Source organism: Homo sapiens, chromosome 1 (genome assembly GCF_000001405.40).
Source record: "Homo sapiens chromosome 1, GRCh38.p14 Primary Assembly".
In the NCBI taxonomy this organism is placed as follows: Eukaryota; Metazoa; Chordata; class Mammalia; order Primates; family Hominidae; genus Homo; species Homo sapiens.
Genome location: NC_000001.11, coordinates 25,363,445 through 25,378,105, shown reverse-complemented (window position 1 = coordinate 25,378,105; position 14,661 = coordinate 25,363,445). Strand labels below are relative to the sequence as shown.

Here is a 14,661-nt window from a genome sequence, read left to right as displayed (position 1 = left end):
TCTCCAATAACTAACTAAATGGAGCACTTTTAATATGCTTTTTGGACAGTTGAATATCTTTTCTTGTGAAATGTCTATTCAAGTTAGTTTGCCCATTTTCTATTGTGGTGTTCTGTCTTTTTCTTATTGATTTTAGGAATTCCTTACATATCCTGGATATGAATCCCACTATGTGGCTTACCTTTTTCCTTCTTTCTTTTTGAAACAGAGTCTCCTTCTGTCACCCAGGCTGGAATGCAGTGGCGCTATCTCAGCTCACTACAACCTCTGCCTCCCAGGTTCAAGCAATTCTCATACTTCAGCCTCCTGAGTAGCTTAGATTACAGGTGCATGCCACCATGCCCACCGAATTTTTGTATAGACAAAATAATTTTTGGTAGAGACAGGGTTTTGCCATGTTGGCCAGGCTGATCTTGAATCCTAGCCTCAACTTTGGCCCACCTTGGCCTCCCAAAGTGCCAGGATTACAGGTGTGAGCCACCATGCCCAGCCCACCTTTTACTTTCTTAATGGTGTCTTTTGAACAAGGAGGTTCTTAATTTTAATATAGCCCAATTTATCATTGTTCCCTTTATGCTTAGTTCTTTTATGTCCTGTTTAAGAATTTTTGCAGCCAGCTCGGTGGCTCACACCTGTAATCCCAGCACTTTGGGAGGCTGAGGCTGGCAGATCACAAGGTCAAGAGATCGAGATCATCCTGGCCAACATGGTGAAACCCTGTCCTTACTAAAAATACAAAAAATTAGCTGGGCGTTGTGGCTCTTGCCTGTAGTCTCAGCTACTCGGGAGGCTGAGATCACGCCACTGCACTCCAGCCTGGTGACACAGCAAGACTCCATCTAAAAAAAAAAGAAATTTGCAAGGTCATGCATATGTCCCCCTGAATTTTTTTCTAAAAATCACTTAATTTTAGATCAATGAATTGAGTAATTGACTCCATTTTTCAGTCATTCAACAAACATTTCCCTGAGGTTTTGATAACCTGAACTGTGTTTGGAGCTGGGGAGGAAGCAAACTATTGAATATATACAAAGATGGCAAAGATGAGGGCCTGGAGCTTGCCACACGGAAGGGGGGATGGCTGCCTGAATGGTTGGGCAGGTAGTTGTTGACATCTGCACTCCCTACAAGAGCAGCAGGGTGGCAACTCTTTTTATCTTTTTAATTTATTTTTCTTTTCTCTTTTTTTTTTGAGATGGAGTCTTGCTCTGTTGCCCAGGCTGGAGTGCAGTGGCGTGATCTCAGCTCACTGCAAACTCCACCTCCTGGGTTCACACCGTTCTCCTGCCTCAGCCTCCTGAGTAGCTGGGACTGCAGGCACCTGCCACCACTCCCGGCTAATGTTTTGTATTTTTAGTAGAGAAGGGGTTTCACTGTGTTAGCCAGGATGGTCTCCATCTCCTGACCTCATGATCCACCCGCCTCGGCCTCCCAAAGTGCGGGGATTACAGGTGTGAGCCACCACACCCGGCCTTAATTTATTTTTCTAGTCTGCAGGTAATTCTTTTTAATTCTCTCCACTCTCCTATGATCTTATGAGGTAGGGACTGTGATTATTTCTCCCACTTTATAATGAACAATCAGTAAAGACAGGGAAGATAACCAAATGACATACAAGGTGGGGTCCACCCCATGAGGCTGCAGGCTTGGAGCTTTCCTTTGTCTTAAAAATGAGAACATGAGCTGCCCACCTGTTGAGACAAGAAATAGGAAAGGCTTAAAAAACTGGCTTGTTGTGTACAACTATCCGTGGGGCTGCAGTGAACGGGCTGGCAGTGCCCAGGTGCATGCTGAACCCTGGGACAATCACATTCAGCATCCAGGGGCCCCCGTAATAGCTTAATGTTTGAATTGAACCCCTGGGGTTGCCTTGAAGGAGAGAGATCCTGGAAGTATGTTCAAGGGGTAGGGATGGGCAGGGGAGATGGGTCTGAAAGCCAAGCTCTACCCCACCCACCTTGCCCCAAGAGAAATAGAACCTTCATCTTTAATTGCCTAACGAGAAAACTGGGGCTGGCCAGATGTGGTGGCTCATGTCTGTAATCCCAGCAATTTGGGAGGCCAAGGCGGGCAGATCACTTGAGGTCAGGAGTTCGAGTTCAGCCTGGTCAACATGGTGAAACCCCGTCTCTATTAATAATACAAAAATTATCCAGGTATGGTGGCGCATGCCTGTAGTCCCAGCTACTTGAGGCACAAGAATCGCTTGAACCTGGGGGACAGAGGTTGCAGTGAGCCGACCACTGCACTCCAGTCTGGACGACAGAGTGAGACTCCATCTCACAAACAAAAACAGAAAAAAAAAAAAAAAAAAGAGAGAGAGAGAAAACTGGAGGCTCTGAGAGGTTAAAGGACTTGCCCAGGGTCTTGCAGCTAGTAAGTGACAGAGCTGGGACTTGAGCTTGGGTTTTCTGACTCCTGGTCTGGTTCATTATCCATGAGGTGCTGGGAACTAAAATAAGCCACAATCTTGGAATCTCCGTCGCCTCCCTCCCTCCCACATGTCTGCGTGGCTTTTTGGGAAAATGCCAGGGGAATGTACCAGCCAGGGAGAGGACCCTTGTTTTCCTCATGGCCCTTCCTGGCAATGGCACTACTGACACCGACAGTCCTTTTTGTCCCTGATGACCTCTGCTGCCTGATGCCCAAGTGACCACCTCTGCTTTGTCATTTCTAGGATTGGCTTCCAGGTCCTCCTCAGCATTGGGGAACTCAGCTTGGCCATCGTGATAGCTCTCACGTCTGGTCTCCTGACAGGTCAGTGTGAGGCCACCTTTCTTCCACCATTGCCAGGACACAGCACCCACGTCCAGAGCGCACCCTGCCGTGTGGCTGGATGTCTATGTGCCCCATCTCCTTCCCTGAGGATCACATAATTTCAGAATTGGAAAGGTTCTTAGAGGTCACCTGCTGCTAATGTGGACTGTGAGGCCAGGGCAGGGAAGGGACATCCCTGAGGTTATAAGTAGGGTGAGTGGCAACGTTGCAGACTTTTGAACCCAGGGCTGGTGATCACACTCAGTTTTGCACAGAAGCCCGAGAAAATCCTTACACCCAAAAGCCTACCTTTTATTTCTGAGGACACCCATAATACTATTTTATTCAACAGATATTTATTCAATATCCACTATGAGCCAGGCACTGGGGACACAGCAGTGAGCAAAACAAATTCCCTGACCCCATGGAATTGACCTTCTAGTGGGGGAAGGTATTAGCAATAAATAGACAAATAAGTGTCTACTACGCCAGATGGGAAGAAGTGGCTGTGAAGACAGAGCAAACTAGAGAAACATAGAGTCAATGTGGGATGGGGTGTTCTTTTAGGGGGGTGGTCAGGGAAAGCTTATCTGAGTAGTTAGCTTTTAAGCAGAGACCCCAATGAAGAGGAGGGAGATATGCGATGCATTTAGTTAGGGGAAGAACATTCCATGAAAATAGGATAGCAAGTGCAAAGGCCCTGAGACAGCAGCATGCTTTGTGTGTTGAGGGAACAGTAAGGAGACCAGTGTGGTTGGTGTGAATGGAGTGAGAAGGAGCAGCAGGGGTTGAGGGCAGAATGGTAGTGAGGAGCAGGCCCTTATAAAAGATGGGAAGCCACTGGAGATCTTTCAACAAAGGGGAAAAGTATGTTTCTGTTCTTGCAATACAATAGAAAAGCAAAAAATCTAGGGGAGTTGCTAATTAGCCAGTTTTACTTATATGCCAGGTGAAAATATGTGGCTAGGTGCAGTGGCTCATACCTGTAATTGCAGCAGTTTGGGAGACCGAAGTGGGCAGATCATCTGAGGTCAGGATTCAAGACCAGCCTGGCCAACATGGTGAAACCCTGTCTCTACTAAAAATTAAAAAATTAGCCAGGCGTGGTGGTGGGCACCTGTAATCCCAGCTACTTGGGAGGCTGAGGCAGGAGAATTGCTTAAACCCGGGAGGCAGAGGTTGCAGTGGGCCGAGACTCTGTCTAAAAAAAAAAGAAAATACACATTCAGGCCAGGCACAGTGGCTCACGCCTGTAATCCCAGCACTTTGGGAGGCTGAGGCAGGTAGATCACCTGAGGTCAGGAGTTCGAGACCAGCCTGACCAACATGGGAAAACCCTGTCTCTGCCAGAAATACAAAAATTAGCCAGGCGTGGTGGTGTGTGCCTGTAGTCCCAGCTACTCGGGAGGCTGAAGTAGGGGAATGGCTTGACCCCAGGAGGTGGAGGTTATAGTGAGCCAAGGTTGCACCAGCCTAGGTGACAGAGTGAGACTGTCTCAAAAAAAAAAAAAAGAAAGAAAATATACATTCCATCCAGAACTTGTTATTCTACAAGCAAACATCTTTTATTGGTTAGACACCCATATATGTGTCCCTAAGCAGGAGGTGGATGCCAAATAAGAGACAAATGGCGTAAGACACTATGAGTTGTGTGGTGACATTGGGCATGTCACTTCACTCCCTCTGAGCCTTGGTTAGCTTCTCTGTAAAATGAAAGGATTATGGTAACTAAGCTGGCTTCCTTCCAGCTTTAACAAACTGTATGGAGGTACATTTTGGAGTTACTTGGGTAATTTTTGAGTGTGAGATTGGCTAGAATTGCTTTAATATACCAATGTCTGGCCTTAGCTTTTGGCAGAGTCTGTGTGAAGAAGCAGAGGCGGAGTAGAGTTAATTCCGTAAGTTAACGTTCAGTTCGTGGCAGCTGGCAATCCAACCCTGGGAAAGGCTGCCGGATTTAGCAAAAATGCAAGGTGTCTGTTTTTAAATTCGCAATGAATTGGGTATCCTGCATTTTATTTGGCAACCCTGTCCTGGGACTCACACTATTCACTGTTATCACTGGTATATTCGAAGTGGTGCTGACTTGCCCTCTGTCTTGCAAAGTACCCGGGGGTCTTTTCTTATGCTTCACTGGAGTCAAAAAAGAGAATAGAGGAAAAGACAATCATATTGTTCCTTTAAGAGTTAAGACCAACAAGCTTTCTTCTTTACATGTTGTTTTTGACATGAGCAAACTGGTGATTAAAAACAACTTGGGTGGCTCATACTTGTAATCCCAGCACTTTGGAAAGCTGAGGTGGGAGAATAGCTTGAGGCCAGGAGTTCAAGCCAGGGCAATCCTATAGTGAGACCCCATCTCTACAAAAGATACAAAAATTAGCCAGGTGTGGTGGTACACCTGTAGTCCCAGCTGCTCCGGAGGCTGAGATGGGAGGATCAGTTGAGCTTGGGAGGCAGAAGTTGCAGTGAGCTGAGATCGTGCCACTGCACTCCAGCCTGGACAACAGAGCAAGACCCTGTCTCAAAAAAGGAAACAAAACAACTTGGACAATGGAAGGGGGAGAAAGTTCCTCAAGAAGCCAAAATTGCACCAAATGGACTCCCAGAAGCCAAGCATTTAACTTGTTAATTGAGCCCTCTGTGGGCCTGTCTATACTTATTTAAGGAACAATCCTATCAAGCATAGTTATTGGGTTTCTCAGCCCAGGTAGATTAGAAATAGCAGATTAGAGGTGGGCTAGGTTTCTAGAGGTAAAGTACACCAGCAGAAGTTAGAAGTGAAAGCAAAGAGCCTAACAGAGGAAGAGAAATTCTTTTTTTTTTTTTTAGACGGAGTTTTGCTCTTGTTGCCCAGGCTGGAGTGCAATGGCGCTATCTCGGCTCAACGCAACCTCCGCCTCCTGGGTTCAAGTGATTCTCCTGCCTCAGCCTCCTGAGTAGCTGGGATTACAGGCATGCACCACCACGCCCGGCTAATTTTGTATTTTTAGTAGAGACAGGGTTTCTCCATGTTGGTCATGCTGGTCTCGAACTCCTGACCTCAGGTGATCCGCCCACCTTGGCCTCCCAAAGTGCTGGGATTACAGGCATAAGCCACTGTGCCCGGCCAACAAATTCTTAAAACTGGACACAAGAACACAAAACGCTTGGGCTGCTGAGAGATTAGACCAACAACCCTCCACGGCTACAAACCTTTTCCACGTTATATGGCACGTTATAAGTGGGTGTTCCTAGTGATGGTTCTGATTTTTTTTTTAAAAAGTCTAAATATGTTTAATGTTGTCTCAGAAGACAAAATATATTTTAGACAGATATTCCTCAGTGATGAGTAAGCCTCAGCTATCTGGAAAATTCATGCAGGCGCCAGAGATCATTACTGAGTAATTCAAGCTAATAACTGCGTCATGCTGGTTGTACCCTGCATGCCAATATCTGCTAAAAGCAGCACCACGAAAGGGAAATACGAATCTCACTAAGCACTCACCCATTCTTGTTAACGACACTGGAACTGATCATCCTTAATAATACACAGATAAATCTATCAGGAGCATTTCCTTGCTTCCTGTGAAAGGAAGTACTCATTCCATGTGTCCTGTGAAATTCAGCCAGCTTCGGGAAGCTGGAGGAATACATATGGCCAAGCTACCTGGGCAGAGAGTAGACAGGGAATGGAGGTTGGGCACAGTGGCTCACACCTGTAATTGCAGCCCTTTAGAAGGCAAAGGCGGGCAGATCACTTGAGCTCAGGTGTTCAAGACCAGCCTGGGCAACATGGCTAAACCCCGTCTCTGCAAAAAATACAAAAAAATGAGCTGGGTATGGTAGCACACACTTGTGGTCCCAGCTACTTGGGAGGCTGAGGTGGGGGGGTTGCTTGTGCCTGGGAGTTTGAGGCTGCAATGAGCTGTGATTGTGCCACTGCACTCCAGCCTGGATAACAGAATGAGACCCTGTTCCAAAAATAAAAAATAAAATCAAAGACACTTAAAAAGATGGGGAAAAGGAAGGACAGGCACTTAAGCAAGTTATAAGCTACTTTCCTAACTACACAAGTGGAATCTTAAGCTGAGGTTCCCAGGAGTTGACTGGAGCCAGAGAAGACAGACCTATAGGAGCACCCAACTGGAGTCGCCCTCCATAGTAGCCCATATGTCTTACATGGATCAGCTTTCGTGGGGCCCTTCTACTCCGTCTGGGGAAGGGCGTCAGATCTGTGGCTCTCATGTACTGCTCAGTACACTGCCATTCCCAGTTCTTTTTTTCAAAAAAAAAAAAATTGTTTACAGAATCGGCCGGGTGTGGTGGCTTATGCCTATAATACTAGCAATTTGGAAGGCTGAGGTGGGTGGATCACCTGAGGTCAGGAGTTCGAGACCAGCCTGGCCAACATGGTGAAACCCCATCCTACTAAAAAAAAAAAAAAAAAAAAATTAGCTGGATGTGGTGGCAGGCGCCTATAATCTTAGCTACTTGGGAGGCTGAGGCAGGAGAATCGCTTGAACCTGGGAGGCAGAGGCTGCAGTGAGCCGAGATCATGCCACGGTACTCCAGCCTGGGTGATAGAGTGAGACTCTGTCTCAAAATAAATAAAATAAAATAAAATAAAATAAAATAAAATAAAATAGTCTACAGAATTAAGCTGGTCCAGGAATGACAGGGCGTCCATTTATTTGTCTTTCAATTGTGGGAGAAAAAGGATTTCTGTTGAGACACTGTCGTTTTGACACACACAATATTTTGATTAATCTTGAGATTAAAAATCCTGTGCTCCAAATCTTTTAACATTAAATTATGCATTTAAACAGGTTTGCTCCTAAATCTCAAAATATGGAAAGCACCTCATGTGGCTAAATATTTTGATGACCAAGTTTTCTGGAAGGTAAGATTTTTCACCTATTAACGTGATAGATTTTGAGTGCATGAACTTAAAAACATACCTGGGTATATATGTTGACTTGCTGTTTATGAGTAAAACAAAAACAAAAATGGAGTAAGGAGCATTGCAGGAGGAACTAGAGGAGAAACAAATCCATGATATGCATGTGTGTGGGGGAGGGTGGCGGGGAGGTGGTAAAGGTCACCATTTCCCTGATACCTCAAATTCATTCAGAGTCAGGGATGAGACAGCTTTCACTGGCCACACTTCCCCTCCCGCTATCTGCAGTCCTCAGCGTAGCCAAATAGTTTGACATGCGGGTGACAGAACCCCGCAATGCAAAAGCTGGAAGAAACCTCAAGCCTTGGAGTCCAACCCCTTTTTTGACAGATGCTAAGAGTGGAGACATGACTTATCAAGATCTTACAACTGGCTGGGCACGGTGGCTGACGCCTGTAATCCCAGCACTTTGGGAGGCTGAGGTGGGGCGATCACCTGAGGCCAGGAGTTCGAGACCAGCCTGGCCAACGTGTCAAAACCCCATCTCTACTAAAAATACAAAAGTTAGCTGGGCGTGGTAGCACATGCCTGTAATCCCAGTTACTCAGGAGGCTGAGGCAAGAGAATCGCTTGAAATCAGGAGGCAGAGGTTGCAGTGAGCTGAGATTGCGCCACTGCACTCCAGCCTGGGTGACAAGAGCTGACACTCTGTCTCAAAAAAAAAAAAAAAAAAAAAAAATTCTTACAGTGTGTGAGTATCCAGGCTGAGTCCTGAACACAGCTCTTGATAAATGATAACAAGCAGGCACAAAAAAATTGTAGTACAGGAGTCTGAGGTCACTTAGCAAAGGGACATAAAGTTCAAACAGCTCAGCAGCTGCTGAGGGTCCCGTGTTACATTGTAGCATTTGTTGTTGTGACTGGGCTAGAAAGAAGGTGAAGAAGGTTGGAGCTCACTCCCTGCCTCCCCTCCCACTCTCCTCCCTTTGACCTACACTCATAGTTCACGCAGCACTCTGATGTGTCCCCTTAGGCCATCCTCTAGTCAATGCTGTGGGTAGGCTGGACCAGCAGGGACCAGTATTGTCACAGCAAGTCCAGGCCAACAGTGGTCAGGCTGCTGCCCGGTGTTGTGCCTTTGTGAGTGGCAGATCCAAGACCGGAACCCAGGCCTTCTGAGTCCCAGGCCAATGCTTGCCCCACCCAGCATCCAAGATGTTGCTCACTAAAGAGACAGAGAAGCAGCCTTATTATGGGCCTGGACACCTGTGCATGAGGGGTCAAGCAGAGAGGACCTGGGGAGAGACCCTGCCCCTTCTTTTCCTTCTCCTTCCTCTCCTTTCTCTTCTTCTTCCTCTTCAAATAGCTTTTTGAGGTGTAACTGGCATACAATCAATTGTACATATTTAGGCTGGGTATGGTGGCTCACGCCTGTAATCCCAGCACTTTGGGAGGCCAAGGCGGGTGGATCACTTGAGGTCAGGAGTTTGAGACCAGCCTGGGCAACCCGGTGAAACCCCGTCTCCACTAAAACTACAAAAATTAGCCAGGCGTGGTGGCAGCTGCCTGTAATCCCGGCTACTCGGGAGGCTGAGGCAGGAGAATCACTTGAACCTGGGAAGCGAAGTTTGCAGTGATCTGAGATCATGCCACTGCACTCCAGCCTGGGTGACAGAGCGAGACTTTGCCTCAAAAACAAAACAAAACAATTGTACATATTTAAAGTGTTGTAACCAAGTGAGTTACAGAGAAACACCACACTTTGAGCCTAATTCAGGAGTCCTTTATTAGCCGGCGACCTAGAGACGACTAGTGCTCAAAATTCTCTCGGCCCCAAAGAAGGGGCTAGATTTTCTTTTATACCTTGGTTTAGAAAGGGGAGGGGGAATTGAGCTGAAGCAATCTTACAGAAGTAAAACAGGCAAAAAAGTTAAAAAGACAAATGGTTACAGGAAAACAAACAGTTCCAGGTGCAGGAGCTTTAAAGCCATCACAAGGTGACAGGTGCGGGGGCTCTGGGTGCTATCTGCCGGACACAAACGCAGGGGCACTAGAGTACTATCACCCGGGCAAATTCCTGGGAACTGCGGACACAGCTTGCCACAGTACCTTATCAGCTAATTGCACTCTTTGATGTGCTGGGAGTCAGCTTGCACAAGTTAAGTCCTTGAGGAAGGGGGTGGGTAAGGAGCCCTTAACGTCTTGCAAATGAAGGAGCCGAATGGAATCCCTCCGGCTTTCTTAGCTAAGAGAGAGTCAATCAAGTTAATACAAGTTAGGGTATCACAAAAGTATATAATTTGATACATTTTAACGTATTTATACACTGAAGAGACCATCACCACCATCAAGACAAGGAGCACACCCATCACTTCCACACACTTCCTCCTGCTCCTTTGAAATTCCTCCCTTCCTACCCACCTGGTCCCACCCAAAGGCAACCACTGAACTACTTTCTGTCACTAAGGTTTGCGTTTTCTGTAATTTTTTTGTTTGAGACAGGGTCTCACTCCGCCACCCACACCGTAATGCAGTGGCACCATCATGACTCACTGTAGCCTCAACCTCCCCAGGCTCAGGAGATCCTCCCCCCTCAGCCTCCTGAGTAGCTAGGACCACAGGTGTAGGCCACCATGGCAGGCTAATTTTTGTATTTTTTTGTAGAGATGGGGTTTCACCGTATTACCTAGGCTGGTCTCGAACTCATGGGTTCAAGCAATCCTCCTGCCTTGGCCTCTCAAAGTGCTGGGATTATAGGCATGAGCCACTGTGCCCAGCCCTCTGTAATGTTACACAAAGGGAATCATGCAGCACGTACTGCCCTTGGTCTGGCCTCTTTTGCTCAGCATGATTATTCTGAGAATCATCCGTGTTGTTGCGTGTAACTGACTTCATCAGCTTCTCTCTGCAGCTGTCAGCTCTTGGCTTCTCCCAACAGCCAATCTCTCTTTATCCCCTGCAAGTGTTCTTGCCTATTTAGCAGAATCAAGGTACTCTATCGAAAAGACTCGGAAAATTGGTTTAATCTATTCATTCATTCCTCAGGTATTTATCGAATAACTATTCTATACCAAGTACTATGCTAATCAACCAAGGACAGCACAAACAGGAGAAATCTCCAGCTCAGTCACTTGAGTTGCAATAAATATTTGCTGGATAGGTCAGGTGCAGTGGCTCACACTTGTAATCCCAGCACTTTGGGGATTACTGAGACGGGAGGATCTCTTGAGCCCAGGAGGCCAAGGCTGCAGAGAACCATGATCATGCCACTGCACTCCAGCCTGGGTGACAGAGTGAGATCCTGTCTCTGAAAAAAAATATTTGCTGGATAAATTAAGGAAATCTGACGAACCCCATCAGTAGCCATTGCAGCAACAGGTAAACTAGAACGAGTGTGAATTTGGAATGAGGAAACCCGATGTTGGCCATCATTCTGTAATGTCATGTATTATGTAATGTATTATATATTAATGTATGTATTATGTAGGCAAGTTCCTTGACCTCTCTCACTGGTAACATAAGAGTAGTAATCTTTGTGCTACTTCACTGGGTTATTTCAAAGATCAAGTGAGGTAATAATGTCTGTAACAACATTCTGTAAAATGCAAACCGCCACATGAATGTGAAAGTTTATTACTAGGGATTTAGCCAACCACAAGGGAATGTGTGAGCATAAGAGCTATCATATTGCAAGCCTACAGTTTCTGATTTTGTGCTAGGTGCTTTTCCACATTACCTGATTTTATCCTCACAACAGTCCTGCATAAAAGTAAGTATGTCGCCCAGGTGCGGTGGCTCATGCCTATAATCCCAGCACTTTGGGAGCCCGAGGTGGGCAAATCACTTGAGATCAGGAGTTTGAAACCAGCCTGGTCAACGTGGTGCAACCCTGTCTCTACTAAAAATACAAAAAAAAATTAGACAGGCGTGGTGGTGGATGCCTGTAATCCCAGCTACTTGGGAAGCTGAGGCAGGAGAATGGCTTGAGCCCGGGAGATGGAGATTGCAGTGAGATGAGATTGCGCCACTGCACTCCAGCCTGGGTGACAGAGCAAGGCTATGTCTCAAAAGAGAAAAAAAAAGTAAGTATCTCAGTCTTGAAGATGATGAAATGGAGGCCTAGAGAGATTAAGTAACTTGCCCAAAATGACAGAACTAATGCATAGAAAAGAAGAAATGTGATGTCTTTTGGCTCCAAAGACACCCCACATATGCGTTGGTTACAGTTACTAGAGAAAAGTTATTCCACCCCCACCCCACCCCCAGAAATCTTCTGACTTGTTTTCTCGCAGTTGAGTAGGACCATTTATTCGGCAGTGTACCATTCTCAGCTTGCAGTTGAAAGCCAAATATCCATTAAAGAGGCAAGGATGCAAACTTGCTAAGCTGATAAATCCAGGGGTGATTTTTTTTTTTTTTGCAAACCATCCAACAAGACATTTTAAATACTCATTGAATTTCATAGAACTGACTGCCAGGATTGGAAAGACATTAAAGCCAGCTCAGCCACTGCCTCGCTGGTTGGCCAGACCACGCCTGGCACTTCTGGGAGGGAGCACTCACCACCCCCCAAGGGCACCCATCTCATCCTCCGAAGGTTTATGAAAATGCACTCATCATTTGCTAATTCATTCCACTACGTGTATTACCTAATTTGTGACACGATGTGAAGTACCAGAGAGATAATTCTAAATAAAATATAGTTATGGGTCTCAAGGAGCCAGATATGCTAATCTCCTATCCTCCTGCAGTTTACAGTGGTCCTCACCAGATACTTATTTACAAAAATTCAGTTTATTATTTATTTTTTTGAGACAGAGTCTTGCTCTATAGCTCAGGCTAGAGTGTAATGGTGTGATCTCGGCTCACTTCAACCTCTGCCTCCCAGGTTCAAGTGATTCTCCTGCCTCAACCTCCCAAGTAGCTGGGACTACAGGCACCTGCCACCACGGCTAATTTTTGGAGTTTTAGTAGAGACAGGGTTTCACCACGTTGGCCAGGCTGGCCTCGAACTCCTGACCTCAGGTGATCTGCCCACATCAGCCTCCCAAAATGTTGGGATTACAGGCGTGAGCCACCATGCCCGGCCAAAACTTCAGTTTATAACACAATCTTTCACGTGTCTTCTGCTTTCATTAAAAGAATAGACAGTTCCCTTCTTTATTTCAGTTTAATAAACCATGGATTTTATTTCATGCTTTGCAAAACACAAGGGCTCACTGACATGCACTTCTTAAACTAATTCTGGCTGGTCGCCTGTAATTCCAGCACTTTGGGAGGCTGAGGCCGACAGATCACTTCAAGTCAGGAGTTCAAGACCAGCCTGGCCAATATGGTGAAACCACGTCTCTACCAAAAATATAAAAAATTAGCCAGGTGTGGTGGTGCGTGACTATAATCCCAGCTACTCAGGGGCCTGAGGCAGAAAAATCACTTGAACCCGGGAGGCGGAGGTTACAGTGAGCTGAGATCGCGCCACTGCACTCCAGCCTGGGCGACAGAGTGAGACTCTGTCTCAAAAAATAAATAAATACAAATAATGTAAAATACGAAACAAGCAATCCTGGCAGTAGCTGCTGGAATGAGAGGAGGGAGAGGTCATAGGGAGGTCGGGGACAATGGAGCATGGAGTTGTGTTGGATTTGGCTAAGCAGCAGGAAGTGCAAGGCATTCCAAGCAAGAGGAGGGGGGCAGGTGGGGAGCATCTGCAAGAACAGAAGCAGCATGAGCAACCTGGCTCGGCAGTGTGTGAAAAGGCTGAAAGGTGGCTAGAGCCACTTCAATTTCATCCTTCAGGCAAATGGGAAATTCCCAAAGGTTTGAGTGGGGAAGCAATGCCTACAATGAAAGTTTGAGAGTGAAGCAGAGTGATCGAATTAAGCATGTAGGCCGAGTTCTGAAATAACTGCAATGTGCTGAAGATCATCCATTGGCTTCTGAATGAGTATTTGCAGTTTATTTTTTAAAATGATTTTATTGCCAAGAAAGATAAACACTACTGTTTTGGTACAAAAACATAACAAAATGTGTTGAGTCCCTCTTGCTGTTTTACGCGAAGTTTTAAAAATCTACTCTTGTCACAGTGGTATCACCCCTACTTCTGATTTCAAATAAATGTTCTAGAGACACAGTAAGGGCCCAACAAACGCTTGTTCAACAACACAAGGAGAGCCAGCTTTTAAAGTAGGAAAACAGGCCGGGCGCCGTGGCTCACACCTGTAATCCCAACACTTTGGGAGGCTGAGGTGGGCAGATCACTTGAGGTCAGGAGTTCAAGAACAGCTTGGCCAACATGGTGAAACCCTGTCTCTACTAAAAACACAAACATTAGCCAGGCGTGGTGGTGCACACCAGTAGTCCCAGCTATTCAGGAGGCTGAGGCAGGAAAATGGCTTGAACTGGGGAGGCAGTGGTTGCAGTGAGCCGAGATCGTGCCACTGCACTCCAGCCTGGGGGACAGAGGGAGACTCCATCTCAAAATAAAACAAAACAAAACCAAATCATACAAAAACATTAGCTGGGTGTGGTGGTGCATACCTGTAATCCCAGCTACTTGGGAAGCTGAGGCAGAATTACTTGAACCCCTGGGGGGAGGTTGCAGTGAGCTGAGATCTTGCCACTACACTCCAGCCTGGGCAACAGAGTGAGGAGACTCTGTCTCAAAAAATATATATATTAAAAAAAAGAAAAAAAAAAGTAAACTAGGAAAACACATCAGCAGCCTGCCAACAGACTCCCCTAGCCTCGGTGAGGGCCAGTGTTCTGGGAGGCAGATCTGAATTCTAGTCCTAGTTCACCCACTGGCAGGCTGGTGCCCTTGGGCAGGTCGCTTCTCTGGGGCTCAGTTTCTTCCTCTATAAAATGAGATCAAATCCCATGTTCTAAGAGTTTGTGCTCTGGAGTCAGACAGATCTGGGTTCTACCACTGCCAGCTCTGTGATCTTGTAGCTTCAGTCTCGTCATCTGACATGGAGATAACAGTAACTGTCTCACTGTGTTGTTAGGGTTTAAAGGAGATAATGTAT

General features: G+C 46.2%; 1 protein-coding gene across 10 annotated transcripts in view; it reads left to right on the top strand.

The window, feature by feature from the left end:
* Window positions 1-14,661, top strand: part of RHCE (Rh blood group CcEe antigens) — a 67,955-nt gene that overhangs the window by 52,098 nt on the left and 1,196 nt on the right. For 6 of the 10 annotated variants that reach the window (XM_011541889.4, XM_047427028.1, NM_138616.5 and 3 more), the window contains 2 exon segments: window positions 2,678-2,757; window positions 7,566-7,639. The exons of 1 other annotated variant lie outside the window; for it this stretch is intronic. In XM_011541889.4, coding sequence (XP_011540191.2) covers window positions 2,678-2,757; window positions 7,566-7,639 — 154 coding nt within the window. 10 annotated transcript variants of the gene reach the window in all.